General features: G+C 38.2%; 1 protein-coding gene across 4 annotated transcripts in view; it reads left to right on the plus strand.

Moving 5' to 3' along the window:
- The window catches only part of CDH6 (cadherin 6), a 135,461-nt gene that overhangs the window by 81,226 nt on the left and 31,898 nt on the right, over positions 1–22,337 (plus strand). For all 4 annotated transcript variants that reach the window (XM_011513921.4, NM_004932.4, XM_047416591.1 and 1 more), the window contains exon 3: positions 19,051–19,345. In XM_011513921.4, coding sequence (XP_011512223.1) covers positions 19,051–19,345 — 295 coding nt within the window. The remainder of the gene's footprint in view (positions 1–19,050; positions 19,346–22,337) is intronic.

The following is a 22,337-nucleotide window of genomic DNA, read 5'->3' on the forward strand; positions in this document are numbered from 1 at the left end:
ACTCCAACAAGTTAAACAGAGGTAGAAGTTGTTGCAAGGTTAGAGAGGCTCCCGTGCTCATTTTGGGCACAGCCCTTTGAGTCTATTCTATAGGCATTGTTAAGTATTTCTTTATTGATCAGCATAACTTGTTCGTAGTATTAGTAAACCACGTAGATACTGATTGCACCAGAGTTCTTCATTTTTTTGTCATAATATGGTCTGTAGTAGCAGATAAGAATATAAATAAGCTGAATGCCAACATCCTAGTTTACATTTCTTTCAAAATCAAGATCTCTAATTGTTTTCAACTTCATTTTAGATTCAGAGAGTACATGTACAGGTTTGTTAGCTGATTATATTCCGTGAAGCTGAGGTTTGGGGTATGGCTGATCCCATCACCCAGGTACTGAGCATAGTACTCTACAGTTAGTTTTTCAACTCCTGCCCCTCTCCCTCCCACCTCCCTCCCCACTCTAGTAGTCCCCAGTGCCTATTGTTGCCATCCTTACGTCCATGAGTACCCGATGTTTAGCTCCCGCTTATAAGTGAGAACATGCCATATTTGGTTTTCTGTTCTTGTGTTAATTCACTTAGGATAATGGCCTCCAGCTGCATCCATGTTGTTACAAAGGACATGATTTCATTCTTTTTTATGGCTGCATAGTATTCCATGGTGTATACAGACCACATTTTCTTTATCCAGTCTACCACTGATGGGCACCTAGGTTGATTCCATGTCTTTGCTATTGTGAATAATGCTGCATTGAACATGTGAGTCCATGTCTCTTTTTGGTAGAACAAAAATCCCTAATTTTAATTTTGACTAAATTTTATTTCAAAAATCAGATAATAAATTCCTGACATACTGTAATCAAGCATCAGTAGATTCCTAAACCATGGGTGTTTTTCATTTCCATTGATATGAAAAGCCAAGAATACATTGTAACCAGAATTATACATTTAACTTTTAGAGGCCTCAACCTCTCTAGCCAAATTTTAAAATGTCTTCCTTATGTTCCACCCACATTTACCAAAAATAAACAGACATACGGGAGGGGTCCTCCCTTTGACAGCCTTCATCAAATTAGGAGATTATGTTTAGATGTCAATGTGCCATTGCAACCTCGAGGGGGCAACTCTGTGTGTGTTGGTGTAGGCTGCTGGGCGCAAACTCCCATCTTCCTACAAGCTTTTATTTTGCCAGTTACCAAGATGACAATAAAATGTAACCGTCATGAACATGCTAAATACATCAGCGTTCTTTGCAAACCTTTCTTTCCATCTAGAATTGAAGATCAAAAAGAAGTACAGAATTCCCCATAAGAAAATTAGAGCTTTTTTATCACAATTATCAATACATAAGTAAAAGTAATGGGTATTCTCAAAGGCCCATGTAAGGAGTCAAATTTGAAATTATGTGACCTGGAATAAGAAGCAAAGAAGCATGCCAAAATATTTCCCAGGGAAAGCATTTATAATTTCTTCCAGTTTTTTATTCACAGAGAATATATATGCTCAAAAAAGAGAGGCATTTTAAAAGATTAAAATATATACATATAAAAATATGAATAAATATTTTAGGTGAGTTGGTGTGTTTCAAAGGACTTGAGGGCAGTGATAAGGGCATAATAAAAAGCTTGAAATATCACTCTGAATATGGGATTTAATGCCCACTAGAGGGAATGGAGATTGGAGTTAAGAAGGTAGTTGAAGAAGTTATCTCAGTTATGGCCTTTTTGGAATAGATTTGGAGAGAAAATGCTTTTCATTCATTCAACAATTACTTGCTAGAGAGTGTAAGTCCATAGCATGAGCAGACTGTCTATGTTTCAGCCTCAGCTGCACTTCTGACTACGTGTGTAATATTAGGCAAGTAATTTAATCTCCCTGTGCCCCCTCGATTCCTCAACTGTTAAATGAAAGGAGTCATAAAATTATTGAGGTGAGAATTAAATAACTTAATACACAGAAAAGGCTTAGAACGGGGCCCAAGATATCACACTTACCAGTAAGGAACTAAAGCAAGATCCACGTAAGGAGGGAAGGTGCCCTGCTGTGAAGTGTGCCTTCAAAGAACAGGTGAAATGGAGAGAAAGAAGAGCCAAAGGTGAACAGGTGATCCCACTGATGGCCAATGTTGTGAAGCCAAGTATTATGGGTCAGAAGATGCTGCCAAAGCAGTGAAGGCAGCTGAGTCTGATGCATTAACAGCAATTCGGGGCATGAGTTTATATAAAAATATGAAGTTGCCTTTATTATTCTAACTATAAGAAAAATAATATGCACACGACACCTCACATTGTTTGATGATCCCTGGCAACTGGTAGATTCCCCTCTATTTAAGGATATTTATCCTTTCATTTGAAAACATCATCACTTTATGGTACAATTTGGGGTTTATATTATTTCAATTGCCATGAATGTTATTATAGAATCCGGTTAACTCTTGTTTGTTTGTAATAAGAAAGTTTAAGGCACCCAACAATTTTTTAAATGATCTTTTCACTTGGGTTATAATAAGGTTTTAAATAGGAATCGTTATCACAGTTAAGTTAGGATTAATATCGTAATCTCCTTATATAATTGAACCAAAGTTTTATTTTGAGAAAATTACTGTTGATTTAATTATTTAATTACCCTGAATGTTTCACCTTTTTAAGAGCAGAATAATTAATTCTTTGTTTAAGGTTGAACTTTGACCTTAAATATATTGAGCAGTGTTTCAAATTGGATCCCAGGCCTACTCTTTCAATTAGCACTTCAGATATCGAATGCAAACTCTGGAATACTTACATCTTTGCAAACTCTGCAAGACCCTAGCCTACATGTCTTACTCATCCTTATATACCCAGTAGTGCCTAGCACATATTTTTGCACATAAAAACAGCCAAATACTACTTGAATTAAGCTACAGTGAGCACAGAATATTAAAAAACCACCTTGTTATCTAAAAACTACCTTCCAATTTTTCCAGCTTTATTGAGGTATAATTGACAAAAATTATATATACTTAGGGAGTACAATATGATATTTTGATATACGTTGTGAAATGATTACTATCATGTTAATTAGCATATCCATTACCTCACATAGTTACCATTTGTGTGTATGTGTATTTGTGTGTGTGTGATGAGAACATTTAAGATCTATTCCCTTAGCCAATTTTAAGTATACAGTATTATATTAACTATAGTCTCCATGTTGACATTTGATTTCTATGCCTCCCAATTGATTGATGCAATGGTTTGATATGAATATCTTTGATAGTGTTTTGCAGCATTAGCTTAACAATGGAAAATCTAATGTCTTTAAAGTTCAAGGATGTTTTAGATAGTAAACATATAAACCAAGTGTGTTATGAAAGTCTTTCTATGAAAACTACCTCTGGAAATTTCATATCAAAATGGCACAAATATTTTATGATACAAAAGAAGAAAACTCAAGCTTCCTTAGTGCAAAACAAGGGAACTAAAGACAACATGGTGGTCCGTGCACAAACTAACAAGAAAAATAAGAAAAGATATAACAAATAATATTGTATCATGAAAGCTGGTTCCTTTGAGACTTTTACAAATTAAAATCAGACATTATTTAGGGTCTCAGTAGAAGAAAGTTTGAAACAAAATGAGAAAAAGGCAAACAGATTTGGCCAATGGAAAACAAATTTATTTTTCTTAAAATTGCTAAGAAGCTACATTGTACAGACAATTCAAGTGTTCAGCAAAAGAGAAATCATTTAAAACCTGAGATTGTTGATTGCAACCATTCACAAAAATATCAGCTATAGAGAGAAATGTGATAATATAGGGACAGAAAAATTATATGTAATGACATTCTTTTTTTAACCAACTATATATCTTTTAATCAACATATTTTGAGTTCTCACAGAAAACAATCATTTCTGGAAAATAATCTCATCTTAATGCTTTCTACTACTTATGAGTACAAATCAGAAAAGAAGCACAAAAGAGGAAATGTAGAGAAAATCCTGCTTTAAAATACAGTTACACAAAGCTTTAGCATGCTGGATTGTTTTGTTTTCATAAATTGTGAAACATAAAAATCTGGCTCATTTCCTTATTATTCTAGAGCATGAGGCTTTTTGAGGGGTCAGAGGTATTAGGGGTCAATGAGGATCAACATCCCCCAGGCAGCAAAGTTCCCCTTTAAGAAATAAGAAAAGCATTATACTTGAACATTGAACAACCCAAGGGTTCAGGGCACCAACCTGCATAGTTGAAAATTCTTGTATAACTTTCAACTCCCCAAAAACTTAGCTACAAATGGCCTACCATTGACTGGCCGCCTTAACACATATTGTGTATGTTATATTTTTATATACTGTACTCTTAAAGTAAGCTAGAGAAAAGAATATATTTTTAAGAAAATCATGGCTGGGCACAATGGCTCATGTTTGTAATCCAAGCACTTTGGGAGGCCGAGGTGGGTGGATCACCTGAGCCCAGAAGTGCCAGACCAGCCTGGGCAACATGGGAAAACTCCATCTCTACCAAAAAAGAAAAAAATTACAAAAAATTAGCCAGGCGTGGTGGCATGCACCTGTAGTCTCAGCTACCTGAGGTCGGAGGATCTCTTGAGACCAGGAGGTCAAGACTGCAGTGAGCAAGATCATGCCACTGCACTCTAGCCTGGGTGACAAAGTGAGACCCTGCCTCAAAAAATATATATATAATAATAAAAACTAATAAGAAAATCATAAGAAAGGGAAAATATGTTTACTATTGATTAAGTGGAGGTGGATCATCATAAAGGTCTTCATCCTCATAGCCTTCATGTTGGGGAGGCTGAGGAAGAAGGAGGGGTTGGTCTTACTGCCTCGGGGGTGGCAGAGGCAGAAGAAAATCTAAGTATAAGTGGACGCATACAGTTCAAATTCATGTTGTTCAAAGGTCAACTGTACTTTCTTATGCTGTTTGTGCCTTGACTGTTCTGTCTATCCTCCCAACCACATATATCATGTTAAAAGAAAAAACAAAGGGCAGCTATTTAGCTTGTATTAAAGCTATGATCTTGCTGATTACCAATCCACTTGCCTCTTAAAGGAAAATAGAGTCTTCAAGTCAAATCGAGAAAATTCAGTGACTTGGGCAAAGTTGAGTGGTGGTACTTCATTTCATTTTATCTCCTTTTCAACAGTAGACATCGCTTCCCTGAGTTTTAAAATGATAACGTGGCCATTGAAATCTTGACTGCCACGCAAACCAGCAATTAACACCTGAAGAAGGGGAAGGTGTAGGGTGGGAGAGAGAGAAAAGAGAATTCAACACAAGAGAAAGTATTCCCTGGCAGGCTACGAGTCATCACAGATTATCTTTTAGCAGAGTTTCATGGCAGAAAACTTGTAGTGAAGATAGGGAGCAATGATAATATTGTCTCGCATTGTGTCGAGCTTTACAGCTTATAAAATGCTGTCACATGTACAAGCATTCCTCAGGTGATCCACATAACCACTCTCTAGTTGAACTTTCTCAGGGGATCCACATAACCACTCTCTAGTTGAACATGATTCATTCCTTTTGCGTGTAAGCAAACACAAGCTCAGAGGAGTTCAGGGACCCCAGGGCCATTGCCAGCACAGTACCAAAGCTGAGGCTAGAGTTCAGCTTTCTTGAGGGGTTTAAGTCTGATACTCTTTCCCTATATCACATTATTAAGTTATTAAAGTAGCAGAGAGTATTTCAGATACGGTGGGCAAATGAAACAATGACATACGTGGGAGGGAGAGGAGCACAAATTTCATGCCACTGACATTGCAGTGAGGAAACTTTCCCCAGCGGGGTCGTCAGATAGTATGAATTTCTCTTTGCTAATGTTTCAGTTGGTTTCTTTAACTGAAAGAGGAGGAGGGGGAGAAGGAGAGCTTTTGAAATGGAGGAGGAAGAGGAGAGGAGGAGAAGAAAAAGGACAACAGAGAAAGGAGAAAGGAGAAAGGGAGCTTTCAAAATGAGGAGGATGAGGAGAGCTTTTGAAATCTAAGCTGGCTCCCAAGCAAAAAAAAAAAAAACTAATAAATGAGCTCATTATCTTCTTTCCTAGAATCATTTGCTATTAATTCCCTGATGGTATGAGAGGTTATAGAATTCAATTTACTCATCATTTATTGTGCACATACAGGATGCTTGAGAGTTATGAATTCAAGTAAAAAAATAGTCATTTGTCTTATAGAGATACATAGCTTTAACTTTTTAGATCCTAAGTAAAAGTCAACATAAAAGAATATAATATCCAACATATTTTTTACCTTTCAGGAAGAACATGTTTTAGAAAAAGTCCATTTGCTATTAAGGAACACATTTTTTTAAATTTCTGCCCTTTGAATTATCATATCTCAAATGCCTGCATTTTATCTATTGATACTCTCCTCCAAGACATATGTGTCAAAGAGAAAGAGAGAGAGAGGGAGAAAGAGAAAGGGGGCTGGGGGAGTGTGTGTGGGGGGTGTGTTTGTGTGTGTGTGTCCTTTTTTGGTGATTGCTGAAGAGGTTACACTATAAAGCAAAAAAGGTAGCATTCTAACTGGTGAGTTACAACGCCTTACTCAATCAATTTTTGACTGGGATCTGGCTCTCAGCTTGATTTACCACTGGCTTTCTGAAAATGAAAATGTTAGACTAAGCAGGAGCTGAGACTAATGTCACAGTCTGCCAAGGCAAGAGGGACCTTGGACTTCAAAAGCCAAGCATAAAGCAGTAAACAATGCCTTTTTGGGGAAATAACTTTATGCAGTTAATAAACTAAAAGGCATTTGTTTAATTGACAAATCCTGAATGAACAATAACATTTATTATAGTTTGTATCATTTGTGGCAGTAGAATTTACAAATAACTTAGCCTGGGGTCTGATAATAAATACAACGAATACAGAAATGTTTATAATCAGTGTGGGGAGGGTTGCTTTGATGTGAATGAGAATAGACTTTGGAGTCAGGCAGGCCTTGGTATCCTTTCTGGCTCTGCGCTTAACTTTGGGTAAATTACTTAATCTCTCTGGCCTCAGTTTCCTAATCTGAAAAAAATGGAGAAAATAAAAGTTACCCCCTGGAGTCATTGTGAGAATTAATGCATGCAACACACCAACCATTTTTGCAGTACCTGATACACAGTAAAGTGTTCAGGAAGGGTTAGTTTTCCTCCCTCCTCCACTGGGATTCTTGAAGGACCACACGCAGTTTCAGTTCACGTTGAATTTCAGAAATATGGAGCTACTGTCTTAGTTTCTTGTTGCTGCTGTAACAAGTCACCACAGATTTGTGGCTTAACACAATATAAATTTATCATCTCATAATTCTGGAGGTCAGAAATGGGTTTCACTGGGCTAAAATCAAGGTGTCTGCAAGATGTCTTTATGGAGGCTTCAGGGAAGGATCCATTTCCCGTCTTTTCCAGCTTCTAGATACCACCTGCATTCTTTGGCTTCTCAGCTCATGGCGCCTTCCTCCGTCTTCAAGCCCAGAAGCATAGAGACTTCAAATTCTCTCTCTCTCTTTCTCTCTTCCTCTCTCTCTCTCTCTGTCCTTGGCTCCTATCATCACATTTCCATCTCTCACTCCAACTCTCCCCTCTTTCCCTTGTAAGGACCCTTGCAATTACCTTGGGCTCACCTGGGTAATCCAAGATAATCTCCCCATCTCAAAATCCTTATCTTGATCACATGTGTAAAGTTCTTTTTGCCATGTGAGGAAACACAGTCACAGGTCCCGGGAATTAGGACATGGACATCTTTGGGGGAGCAGGTGCATTAGTCTGCCTACTACCACTATTATCACTCTAAAGTTTTGTTCATTTAAGTTACTCTGGTACTTTTGACATGAAATTCAAGGTATTGAGTGTAAAAAATAATTGTCAAGGGAATTAGTAAATTTCTGCTGTGTTTAGGCTTAAACTTCTTTTGCTTTTAGCACTTTGTCAAACATTCTCCTCCACATGACACAAGGTCTATTTCAGGGGTTATTAAATGTAACAAAAAACAAAAAATTGAATTGAGTAGGGTTATACTGAATCTCTGCAAATACAGATCCCTTATGGTATTATTTAAGTGTATTTTAAAAGTCACAAAGTACACATTGATAAGAAAGATGGAAGGATGGATGGATGGATGGATGGATGGAAGGAAAAAGAGAGAGAGACAGACAGACAGATTTAAGTTTGATCAATGTTCTCAATTTTCTGACCCCAGGGGACATTTGGAAATATCTGGAGACATTTTTGGCTGTCACATCTTGGGAAGACGCTACTGGCACCTAGTAGGTAGGGACAAAGGACTCTGCTGAACATCCTATAATGTATGGGACAGCTCCCCAAACAGTTACCTAGCCCAAAATGCCAATAGAGCAGAGACTGAAAAACACTGAATTAGATAATTCGTTGTAACTCAAAATATTGTTTGGTACAGAGTAAGCTTTTAATGAATGTTTACAGAACTAAATGTAAAAACACAGGGAAAAAAATGTGTTGTGGTTAATAGAGTAGGCCACCTGGACTCAAATCTTGCTCTTATTCATCGTGCCATGCTGAGAAGTGATTTACCTCCTATATTGCCTCAGTTGCCTCATCACTTAAGCGGGGATAAGAATAGAATCATAATGAGTAACAAATTATGTAATCTTTGTGACCAGTTCAGGTCATGTCCCGGCCCATGATATGGGCTTAACAAATGTCTGCTATTATCATTTTTCCAAATCCCAGCCAGACCAATTGCCAGATGATGAATCACAAAAGAGAAGACTTTGAAGATAAAATATTTACACCATTATAAAAATCAATTAAATCATTTCTACTATATAGGAAAATACAAATATGGGGGGTCATAAGAGCCAACATGGTGTAATAGAAAAAGAACAGGAGATATGAAGGCAGCCTGATCCCAGGTTTTGTCAGAAAAATAGATTTTCTAGATTCTCTCTTTTTTTTATTTTTTTTAAGATGGAGTCTCACTCTGTCTCCCAGGCTTGAGTACAGTGGCACGATCTCAGTTCACTGCAACCTCCGCCTCCTGGGTTCAAGCGATTCTCCTGCCTCAGCCTCCTTAGTAGCTGGGCCTACAGGCAGGCACCACCACGCCCAGCTAATTTTTGTGTTTTGGGTAGAGACAGGGTTTTGCCATGTTGCCCAGGCTGGTCTCAAACTCCTGAGCTCAAGCAGTTCACCCACGTTGTCCTCCCAAAGTGCTGAGATTACAGGAATGAGCCACCGTGCCCAGCCCTATTTTCTAGATCCTTTTCAAGCCCATTTTGTAGATCAAGAAATAAGCTGGCCAACCAAAATAAAACTCACTAATTCCATGTATAAATGTAGTCACCAAGCATTACTTGCAGCATGCTCTGGCATGTAGGTCATTTTTCCACCCCAGCTATCTCAATGGGGTTTGTACTAGGAATTGGCCCTTCCATCTACTGAAGTTTGTATGGTAGGACATTCCCAAAACCAAGGAACTTCACATTCCTGGATGTCAAATAACACATACAAAGACTTATTTCTACTGCCCTGAGACACATGAATCTGAATCCACAGGGTGGAACAGTGGCAAGGTTTGGGTAAAGGTGAAAGCAGAGTGGGTTTTTCCCACTTGCCCTGGGGCGATCACGTGGTGAGGGAGAAGCCCTGTTTCATTCCCATGAGCCTTCCTGGGCTTCTCCAGAACAAGAAGGGGGTGGATTGATCCAATAGATGGTCCAGTAGAAGGACAAAGAAATCCTGTAGCTAGGACTACATGTGCTAAGGGTGACAAAGAAGACATAGCCAGACCTCGAGGGCAGTATGTGATGCCAGTGAGGGACGTGAGATGTAGCTATTCACCTTGATCACTGGAGAGCAAAGGTCATGATCTGCCAGAACCACAGATGCCACTGAGGAAAGTAATACATAAGAGATATTCTCTAGAGACCAGAGGATCAGAGGGCAGCATGAGGACTATCCTTGGCTCCAAAAGCCCCCAAATTCCTCACTGGCAAAGGCCATGTGGCTTCCTCTCCTTCATACATGCAGATGTCATCTCGGACTGGATCAGGAGCAAAGCAGGAGGAGAAAGAAACCAGAAAGACTGGGATTTATCCTAAAGAGACCGTATTACTGAATCAGGAAGATTTTATTGGGATTGCACTAAATTACTGAGTTGATATTCAACCTGTATTGAGCTTCTAATCCTCAATGGCACTAGAGCTTGAGGGAAAAGCTATAAACAAAAATAATTATAAGGAAGCTGCATCTTTCCTTGCACATTTGAGTGCAGTGTGAGAAAATATGTGACCCTGCAACTTACGGGAAGGAGTGTTTCTATTTTTGCTGACTTTATGGCTTTTCTTACCCCAGGCACATACTCAAGACCTCTTCTGATTTTCTCCCACACTGAGCCTTGAAACCATGCCATGTGCTCATATCGGTTGCTAAATCATTTTTCTCCCATCAGTAGTCTAAGCTTCTCCAAGAAGTCTTCCTAAACCATCAAAGAGCTTTCACATTCCCTGATTCAGTCTTCTCCAACTTACAAGTTCCTTCTATGCTATTCTCCAGCTTTTTACTTACCTTGTGAATCCTAATACCTAATAACAGTAAAGTGTCTAATTTCTGCTTTTTTCTGTATATTTTATTCCAACGTAAATGGCAAGTTTATAGAAGGCAGAGTTTAGATGCTTTTATTCATTGCTTTATGCAACTGGTCAGACCAATTAGTGTTTTTAAATGGTTGTGGTTGACAGAATTAAATTATTTTATTATGAAATAATGTTTCCATGAAATAGAGCATTTCTCTTTAGTTGCTGCAACAGGAGGATACTTGAAATATAGTTCGGTAAAATCTTGCAGCTTTTTCACCATTAACAGATGACTTCTGACCCAGCATCCAATGTATTTATGATGGTCAATGAATTCAATGTACTTACAATTGGTCCATTTTTGTCAACAAATCCAATACAAGTTGGCTTTACTATTGTGTTGAAGTTGAATTTGTTATTAAAGAAATGCTTTCAGGTCTGAGGCAATAACTTGAATTACCTCCTCAGATTGTTCAGATTAGACCATGTGTCTAATGTTTAGTAGTAATTGATAAATTATCTGGCAATTTCAGGAACGTATATTTTTGATCTACAGAATTATCCTAAAGTCAAGAAAGAGTATAGAGGACACTAAGATTTATTGAGTGTCTGCTATGTGCCAGAAACCTTCACTGATCATTGATATCTTATCCAATTTAATTTTTACAAGATTCATTTATTTATTCTTTCATTCATTCCTTGCTATCATTGACTATTAGTGTCTATAAAGTGCCTGTATATCAGGCTCTGAGGATACAGAAGTGACCTAGACAGGTTTGGTGCCTTCCTTTATGAACCTGCAATCTAGCTTGGAAAACAGCTGTGAAACACATCATCAGCAACAATAGAATGTGCTGATGGCTAAGTGGGGAATGAATTGATTGCATATAGGAGGAGACTGTAACTTAGACCAGCAGCTTAAGGAAGGCTTCTCTGAGGTGATAAAGATTAAGCAGACCTGGCACAAGAGTTGGCTTAACTAGGTGAGGATATTAAAAGGGATTGATGTCAAGGGAACCACATGCAGGAAGGCGTAGCTACGAAAGAGCTAGTTAGTGATGTTATCTTCAAGAAACTGCAAGAAGTAGGGTATGGCTGGAACCAGGAGAGTTAAGGGGAGAACGATGGCTGATGAAGCCAAAGAGAGGAGGAGCAGAGGCCGTGCCGGGCTTTGGAGGCCATGCGAAGGGGTGGGGATGAGGGCTTTATCCCAAGAGTAAAGAGGACACTGCAGGATTTAATTAGAGGAGACTGGCATCTTCAGAGTTGGTGTTGTTCTTAAGTTGATCTAGTTACAGAAAGGAAAATCTAAAGAAAGCAAGCCTGGGTGTGTGTTTGGAGGGCCTCCTTGCAATAGACCAATGAGAAAAGGCAGTAGCATGGACCAGGGTGACAGCAGTGAAAATGGGAAAAGGAAAAAAGTAGGTGAATCAAGATATACATAAGAGGTAGAATTGACTAGAGTTGGTGGCTTAATGAATGTGGGGATAGTGGCAGAGGGTATGGCCTAGGATGACTCCCTGGTGGCTTTTACAGAGATGAGAGGAGGAAAATGATTTGGAGAGAAGGTGATGAGGTCAATATTGGATGTGCTGAGTGTAAGTTGTCTAAGAGAAAGAGGTGACTATATTCTTGACTCCAGATCTCAAGAAAATGTTCTTCCCTGGGGTAACAGATAGATTTAGGCACTGATGGTACAGAGATAGCAATTGAATCCATGAAAAGAGATAGAGGATCTCATGTGGGGAGAGCATGTGAAAGGAGGGAGACAAGGACCAAAGACACAGGCCTACAGGATACCAGCATATAAGGGGCAGATAGAGGAGGCAAAGTTAATCATTTCCAGTTCTATATTAGGACTGAATGGAGACTAAGATCAGTTAATTTATTTCACTGATTGATAGGAAAGTCAGAATTCAGATCCAAATCCCACCACTTTCCCAAAATCCACCTTTGGATATTTGGTGTTTATGAATTCAAGAGTAATTTATTGAAGGTTTTCTCTGAGGTAGGCCCTCTACTAAGCATCTTACATACATTATTTTATTTATTGTCTGAGAAACCTACTTGTAAATTAAGTATTATTATTATTCCCATCACATGGATGAGGAAATAAAGGCCTGGAGAGGTTAACTAAGTTCCCCAAGGTTATGTGACAAGTACAGAGCATAAATTTACACTCACCTCTTTCCCTTGCCTGTGTCCATGCTAGTAAGTACTATGATTGTACTAGTTAAGGCAGTGGCTCTCAAACTTGAGCACTCATCAGAACTACCTAAGGAGTTTCTTAAAACACAGCACTGGTGGGCATCCCCTGAGTTTCTGATTCTGGAGGTAGGTGGGGCCAGAAATTTGCATTTCTAACTAGTTCCCAGGTAATGCCAATGTGGCTGGTCCAGGGACCGCACTTTGAGAACCACCGACTTAGGGTCAACGCAGAACTACAATAACAACAACAAAACTTCAAAAACATAATGGTTGTAGTGCAATGTCTTTTTTTCCTCTTTCACATTACAGGCTGGTCGGATATGAGGTTATTCTAGAACCTGGGTTCCTTCCACTTTGTGGCTTGCCATCCCCTTGGGCACTGTTCTCATCAGCCTGGTGGAAACCAGGTCACTGCCTCATTTACATTGCAACCTGTGGAAAAAAGAAAAAATAGGACTAGAGCAAGCCAATTCCTGCTAAACCAGGGACACTGAAGTTGCACCCTTTACATTCACACATATTACAATGTGAAAACTGAATCACAGGGCTGAACAGCCACACACCCAGCTGACCCACAGCTGGGAACCTGCCACAATCATATGCTGCCATCAGCTTTCTAATTGGTAAAATAATCATCACATATAAATTAGTTAACTCATGCCAAATTATTAACATTCAAATACAGCAGAATAAAATGTGTCATATGGAATTTTATTAAAATGCACTTTTGATTTACCTAATCCTATAATCTCTAAAACAGAAGCAACTCTAATCCCTGCCATGTACTTCAAGCAAGTTCAATTTCTTCCTGATATAAACTCTACCCAACAAGCTTTTCCCAGCCTTCACAACACTGTCTATTTATTAGCATTACGTATACATGCATTATATATAAAGATGTATGTATACATGTAGACATCTATACGTATACATAGATATTGATGCAGTTAAGCCTCAATTTGTCATAATTTGATTGATTGTGCTAATTTAAAGTAACATTCCACCTATTTAACACAAAGATGTTCTCTCTCTCTGCTGTAATTCCTGTTTCTTTCCTCAATCCCAGACAGCATCTTTTCAACACCACTGTTCTCTAATTGTCTTATAATAGCTCAGATTAGCAACCATAACATTTCTTAAAGAGCAACATTACATTTGCACTACACCGTACAAGTCCTTAGCCATAATTCAATATTTCATTTTAGCCAAACATCACTTCATACCTTTTCTAAGCCCACGTAAGGCTGCTGTAGGTACTTTTCTATGTGTGTCATCTAGGTAAGCTTTTGTTTGGATTGTTTTTGTTGGGGGGAGAGGGGGTTCTTTTATTTAATTTTTATTTTAGATTCAGAGGGTACATGCACTTGTTACGTGAGTATTACACGTGTAATGGTGGGGGTTGGGCCTCTAGTGTACCTATCACCCCAGTATTGGACATTGTACCCAGTAGGTGATTTTTCAGCCATCACTCCCCTTCTTCCCCACTTTGGAGTCCCAGAGTCTATTTTCCCCATGTTATGTCCATGTGTACTTTTTGTTTAGCTCCCACTTATAAGTAAGAACATGTGGTATTTGATTTTCTGTGTCTGTGTTAGTTCATTTAGGATAATGGCCTCCAGCTCCATCCATGTTACTGCAAAGGACATGATTTCATTCTTTTTTACAGCTTTGTAGTATTCTGGGGTGTATATGTACCACATTTTCTTTATCCAGTCAACTGTTGGTGAACACATAGGTTGGTTCCATGCCTTTGCTGTTGTGAATGGTGTTATGATAAACATATGAATGCAGGTGTCATTCTGATAGAATGATTTCTTTTCCTTTGGATAGATTACAGAATGATCTACTGAATTGCTGGGTCAAATGGTAATTCTACTTTTAGTTCTCTGAGAAATCTCCATACTGTTTTCCATAGAGATTGAATTAATTTACCTTCCCACCAACAGTGTATGAGAGTTCCCGTTTCTCCACACCCTCACCAACATTGTTTGGACTGTTTTCTGTCTTAACAATGCATATGCTGCGGAGATTGCATTTGGTCACTGACTCAGATGGTGACTTGGGGACACACAGGAAATGGGAGCAATAAGGCAGCATTAGCTGGCTTCATAGACGACTAAAAATCTTTGTTATGCCTTTGAATTTGATTTAAAGTCAAGTTGGAATTCAGCACATTTAGCATGTAAAAACATGCTGTGTCCCCAGGAAACCACAACACCCAGCAGGCAAAGATGCTGCCATGGTTTTGGTCCCACCCACCATGGAGCTACATCTACAACCAAAATCCCTGTGTTTATTTGCCAAGATGCTGTATTAAAAAAAAAAATGGGCACAGTGGCTCACACCTGTAATCCCGGCACTTTGGGAGGCCCAAGGCGGACAGATCACTTGAGGTCAGGAGTTTGAGACCAGCCTGGCCAACATGGTAAAACTCTGTCTCTACTAAAAATACACAAAAAATTAGCCAGGTGTGGTGGTGGATGCCTGTAATCCCAGCTACACGGCAGGCTGAGCCAAGAGAATTGCTTGAACCTGGAAGGCAGTGGTTGCAGTGAGCCGAGATCGCACCACTGCACTCCAGCCTGGGCAACAGAGTGAGACTCCATCTCTTAATAAGTAAACACATTTTAAAAATCAACAGAGGAAACAGACAAAGACCAAGAGCTCCCTCTGGCACGAAATGCTACAGGTACAGTAGTAAAAAGTCTTACCAGCGACAGGTGAGATGTGACTTTCTGTGGCAAGTGGATAGTTTTTACTTGATGGTGAATCGTTAAAAGTGAACCAGATGATTAAACTTAATGGAACAGCCACATTAAACTGAAATTAGTAAAAACATGCCTTGGGCAGCCTACAGCCTTTTATTTGTTGTTGTTTAACTTCTGTCTTTTACAGTGGCCATGATGGATGACATCACAAAAGAAAAAATCCAATTAAAATCTAAGTGCTCAATAAACCCCTAATGTCTGATTTTCACCACCACTTTCACAGGCACTGATGTCTTATGTTTCCTTTTTTTCCCAAGAAAAGAACTGGCCCCAGGGGAGTTTGATGGCAGAGGAGGAGAGTGGGGAGAAAAAGCAGAGGCTTTGGGAGGTTTCTGCTCCGTGTACTCGGTCAGACCCAGAAAATGCACTTTGGAGGGAGGAAGGGGGAGGAAGTGAAATTGCTTTACTATCAGACGATGCAAAGAGAAGAGATACATTTTCCCACTAGTTTTCAAATATTGATAAATCAGAATTGTGATCTGCAAAGCAACCCTTGCTCACACTCTTCTCACTCTTCTTTAACGTCTCCTCTGCCCTTTAACATTGTTTCGGGTGTTTGTTCTATAAGTCATCGAAATGGTCTCACCTGACAGCTAAAAATACATTTCTGATTACTTTTACCTGAATAAATCTTGTGACCAGATGTGGAATTCACCTATTAAGTGTGCAACAATTACATACTGAAACCGATGAAAGAACTAGTGGAGGAGAGTGTATAATCCAGTGGAATGCAGAGTATAATAAATCATATGTAAAGATAGCAATTGCCCCCCGCCGCCCAGTTAAAGAATACTGGCTTTTGATCACAGATTTTACCTTAGAGATACCATGTGTCTGTAAAATTGGGTTTTCAAAGTCTTCAAAACAAAGTTCTCAAAAGTCAAAATAGGAGAAAAAGCATGCTGATTATAAACTAAGAGTTAATAACGGTAGCACTCTCTTAAATTTGGGAGGCACTTTGTAATCTATAAGACCCATATTATGCTTTTGTTGCATGTTTACATGGTGGTTAATGTACTATTTGCATGTGGTCTTCAATTAGATCTTCACAACAGCCTGGCCATGTAGCTCTTATTATCCTCATTTTGCAGATAAGAATCCTGGCTGAGGGAGGTTAATTGACTCTGCTGTGTTCTTACACTTGCTGAGTGAAAAAGAATGAACATGGCTCATGCCTAGGAACGTGCCCCCCGCACTGTGCCAGGCTGCTGACCACAGCTGCCCTAGAGCAAGGATCCGCCAGGTGGTGACATTGCTTTCCTTACTCATGGGTTAATGAAATAGCTTTTTAAGAGCCTCTTCAGTCATTCGAATTTGACGATGGAGAGTTAAACTTTCCCCAGTGGCTCTTTGTGTGTCATGATGGTTTCAGCGTTTCCTTAGCATATCCCATCACTCAAATCATGGGATGCTCTTGTTTTACATTTCTGATTGCATTTATCTCACTTCTAAGCAATTTCCTCCCCATTCGAATTTATCTTCCATTATTTCTGCCAAATTGCTTTCAAGACTACTAATTATATGAATAATATTCTCTTCCCCAAACACCACGATTAACTAGCTTTTGCTGTGTTACATTAAACACGGTTTCTCTACCTCTAAATATGAGGAAGTTGCACCAAATAATCTATAAAGCCTCTTCCTGCGCTCAAGAGTTAATCTTCAGACTCTTTTCCCATGAGCTGTGTGATTTTGGAAACATAGCACGCACCGGATTCTCAGTTTTCTTGACTCTACAATGATGGATTTTAAATTAGTTCATGTTTCCCAAAGTATCTTTTTTGGAAAACTGGTATGGGGGATATCGATATAAGTTACACCCAAAAAGGATTCTTTAAACAAGACAGGGAAAACTAAATTACACAGAATCAAATGTAGTTTCAAACTGCAGACACTCAGAGCCTTTGACATGTCAACAGTGACTCTAAGAAAGAGGCCGTATATAAAGTATTTCTTTCCCTCAGCACTTCCTGTAAATGATATTACATGGAATACACTTTTAGACTAGGTTGGATTATTTTTAAAGTCTCTTTTTGCCCTAAGAGTCTATTTTCAAATGTGTAATGCTTCTCCGAGCATTTTGTGCAGTATTAACCAACAAGAGAAAGACTTGGCATAACTGTTGTTGCTGTTGTTGTAGCATAGCCCATATTCTGTTTAGACAGAATTGAAACAAGGTAGAGAGTAGCAGCCTTCCCACTAACACTAACTTCTCTATATACCATGGATGCTTAAAACTCTGGGGGTTTATAAATAGTCCTCCTCAATAAAAAGCACTTTTCGAAAATTTGCAAATAGGGTTAAATTATCTGAAAACCTGCAGACTGAATATATATATATATATGTGCGTGTGTGTATGTGTGTATATGTATATATATGTGTGTGCATATATATATATGTGTGCATATATATATATATATATATATATGTGTGCATATATATATATATATATATATGTATGTGTTTGTGTATATATGTCCTATAGACCTATAGTTAGGTCTAGGTACCATCTAAAGGTATCATCTAACCTTTTGCTGGGTGGGAAAAAGGGAATTTAGGAAACAATAGGAAATCAACACTGTGGATATAATCTCTGGGAAAGGAAACATGGACTACTTATCCAAGTTAGGATTCTCATCTTCTATTTCCACGGTATCCTTAGTATTCATTTAATTCCAACTTTTACCCAAACCCATTTCACTGACAGTTAGTCATCAGAGTCTCTGCTTGATTACCTTTAGGAGCAGGGAACTCACCACTCATAAGACAGACTATTTCAATTTTAGGTTGGCTCTAATTATTAGAAGGTCCTTTCCTATCTTATACTTAAGTATAAATATGAAATGCTATTGTTCCAAGTGACCTGTAAATTATCTAGTCAGGTGATTTTCAAGGTATTGCCCTTGGCAGCACTTAGGATATTTCTCAAATGCTTTGAGTTGAATTTCATAAATAAATAAATATCACATCTTCCCAGAAAAAAATGATTATAATCTCTATCACTAAAGACTCAAGGAGGTTGCCAAGCTTCCCTAAATTCACCAAGATAATAAATGTAAGGTAGAAATAGAATATACCCAAGTCTCTCTGATTCAAAAATCAAAGTCCTTTTCTAAATAGGATATTGCTTCCCTAATATGTTTGTGTACATGCAAGTGAGGGCGAGAGTGTATTAGTGGAATGTGAAAGCTGTAGTGAAAAATAGGAAAATCGTGAAAAGAGTCTCATTCCAGCCACCCTAATACGTCCTTGGCCACCTTGCTATTGCTCTTGCCTTTTGTTTTCCCTTCTTCAAAATAAAGATTACTAAATTTTCTCCCAAACTCTGTTCCAGTTCTGAAAAATTCCATGATTATAAGGAAACATGTTCATTAATGAATGGTATTTACCATTAAGAGGTTACGTAAATAGTAAAAAAAAAAAAACTTGTATTCCTTAGAAAGAATTTAATAAAAGTTAATGTAGCATGCACCAAAAAGACAAAAACAGTTTAGAACCACATGCTTGACTTTTACTTTCTTTAATTTTTTTTTTCTACACTAGTTACATTCAGACCAGGATAGAGGAGATGGATCACTTAAATATATCCTTTCAGGAGATGGAGCAGGAGATCTCTTCATTATTAATGAAAACACAGGCGACATACAGGCCACCAAGAGGCTGGACAGGGAAGAAAAACCCGTTTACATCCTTCGAGCTCAAGCTATAAACAGAAGGACAGGGAGACCCGTGGAGCCCGAGTCTGAATTCATCATCAAGATCCATGACATCAATGACAATGAACCAATATTCACCAAGGAGGTTTACACAGCCACTGTCCCTGAAATGTCTGATGTCGGTGAGTGAGACGTGACTTCAGCCAAAAGCTGGCTTTCCCCTAGTGCATCCACTGAGTAAGGAATCCCACGAGCTCAAAGTACTGAACTGCATGAATTTAGATGCTAACTTCTTCAATCCATGTATGTCCTTTCTGTAAGTGCATATGTTTCCTAATATTACTCTAGTCTCATTTTGTGATTATTTTAAAAACCACATTTCCTCTAAAGAGGGTCTGAAAAGTGGCAGGGTGGGAGTGGGAGGTTGAAAGAGAGACCATCTCCTTTCTCTCCCACCCTAAATGCCCATTCTCTTTCTTGGGCTGAAAGCAACCTTCTCCACTTCTCTTAGCCTATGTGGGTGTTAGGGTCCAAGTAACAATCTCCCAAATAGAAAATAAAAGCTTACATTTACAATCCAGTCTAAAAAGTAGTGATAGTTGCTTTAAGTAACTAGTAACTGTATATTTGGGAAGGAGATCAAAGAACTTTTTTTAATCCATAAACAATAGGCACGTTATGTCTAGGGAGTGGATCCTTTACTACATGGTGGAAATGAAAAGACTTTCATAACATACATAGAGTGAATTAATATTTTTTACACAATACCTCTACTTTTTTAAATAACTAGTGGATTTAATTTGTTTAAATTGAGAGAAGTAAACAGGATTTAAATTAAGAAAAAGAATTCTACTGACATCACTCTTAGCCACATTGAAATACTTCATGGGAGACACTGACAAATTTTAAACTACTTATATAAAGGATTATTTTTATTTTCACTCTGTCAGATTCAAAAGGGCTGAAATTACATATTAACTTTATTATGATTCTGTCAGTTAGATATCAGAGACATTGTAGTTCACAGATCCAAGACATAGAAAATAACAAATCCATGGAAATCGTTGTAAAACATCTACATTTTTCTTATGAAGAAATTGCTTTTCTCATTATTTAAAGCCACTTTGTTTTGTTACAAAAATTGCAAGCCTCACAAAGCAAAGAGGGAGATGACTGGAATTTTGTTTTTTCTTCTTCTTCTTCTTCACTGCTTATAGCAGCAATAGAATGGCATTCTTTAAATTTGTTAGGAAAAAAATTTCTCCTCTACGTGGTAAAAGGCAGAAGAATTCATGAAGAATAGTCTCTTCATCAGCACCACTCAGGGCAACTGTAACCAGCTATGCAGGTATTGCACTGCACAACTCTAGGGAGTGCCATTCACTTTTGAAGCCATTATAGAATTAAATTTGTATTACAAACATTTAGGGGTAGTTGACAGTAACATGTCTTGAGAAAAATAAAAAGGCTTTTTTCAGTTTGCACACAGACACAGTTATGGTGACATTGATCATCCTTAATTGATATCTCATTATTGTGATTATAGAAAGGCATCTTCGAGAAATTACATAAAGGCAGTGGGACAACAGCATGGGAGCAAAAATGGACTTTGGTATCAAACAGAACTGAATTTGAAACTATCTCCACTAAGAACCAGCAGTGTAGCCCTGGGCAAATTATTTGATTTCTCTGATCCTCTAGTTTTGTATCTTGAAAAAATAAATAATAAATGTCAACTCCAAAGGGCTATCATGAGGATTAGATGATAAAACAGGTACAGAGTCCCTAGTACAATATCTGGCAACGAATAGACATTTAAAATGTCCAGATATCATATTCTAAAGCAATCAAATTTTGTGTTAATGTTAAATAAGAACTTGAGTGTTTGTTGACTTGACTCACCCTAAAATCATAAGATGTTCTCAGTCTCCCCACCTCCCTTGCCAAATTACAACGGTGGGTGGTCTGTTTTGTGCATCAGCACTATACATTCAGGGCATCCAACCCTAACATACTACAATCTATTTCTTCAATAAGTGAAATTGGCTATATAATACAAAAGCAATGTAGAATTCCTAATATTCCCTGGATGTAACTTACCTACCCCTTTCATGGAAAGGGGAACTCCAGCAGTATGCTTACTGGTTATCTGATACAAATAACAAAAAACAGCCATTAAGTGATCTTAATCCGAGACTCTTATCCTTTCGGGAAGTCACAGAGCCCTTTGAGGATCATATAAAATCTACAGAATTTCTCCTCAGTGAAATAGACATGTAGGCATACACATGAAAATTTATGTGGAATTTCAGGGGGTTAGGAATACTTTGAAGATTATTAGGCAACTGTGGGGTCTAAAATAAGAATGCTGATCTGAAATGTAATAGCCTTCTTTGTATATTTAAGTATAATGACCTTTTGGAATTGCAGATTCCAGATGTTTGTGCTTTGCTGTTCCAATTCATTGATTCTTTATGTAATCCATAACTACATTCTTTAAGTTTCAAGGTCTTTCAACCGTTTAGAACTATCAGATAGATTTATCATTTAGGATGCTTTTATTGGTAAGTAACAAGAAATCCAACTCGAACTAGTTTAAACAACAACAAATAAGTATTTATTTGTCACATTACTTAAGTCCAAAAGTAAAGCGGGCTTTGGACAGGATTTGATCTGAGTTCTAGCTGTTTTTCTGTGATTTTCTATTCTATCCAGCTTTGTCCTCAGGCTGGCATTTCTAAGATCACAAAATAGCTGCTGCAAATGTATATCAGCACATTACGGTCCAAGAAAAAGAGTATCTATGACAGAATTTCCAGCAAAATCATGAGTGGCCCCTGATTGGACAATTCCTAAACTAATTCCTGTGGACAAAGGAAGCAAGATGCTGATTGACTTTGTCCTGGATAACTCGAAAGAATCACTAAAGCAAGAGTCCAGTCAAATCCCGCCATTGGAGATGGGTTGGAATCAGTTCCACCCCAAGTCATGATCATTCCCATGCTTTTCTGTAACCTAATCCTTAAAATATTTCTAAATGTTGATTGTATTTCTTTAAAGAATCCAATCCTTTTTCACCCAGCATCCTACCAAAGTTCTCGACTTCCTCAGCATGATATTTCCATACAAAATTAAGATCGTGCTGGTTTTGGTGTGTGTCAAAGATTGATATGA

The sequence above is a fragment of the Homo sapiens genome, chromosome 5 (assembly GCF_000001405.40).
Source record: "Homo sapiens chromosome 5, GRCh38.p14 Primary Assembly".
NCBI classification, from domain to species: domain Eukaryota; kingdom Metazoa; phylum Chordata; class Mammalia; order Primates; family Hominidae; genus Homo; species Homo sapiens.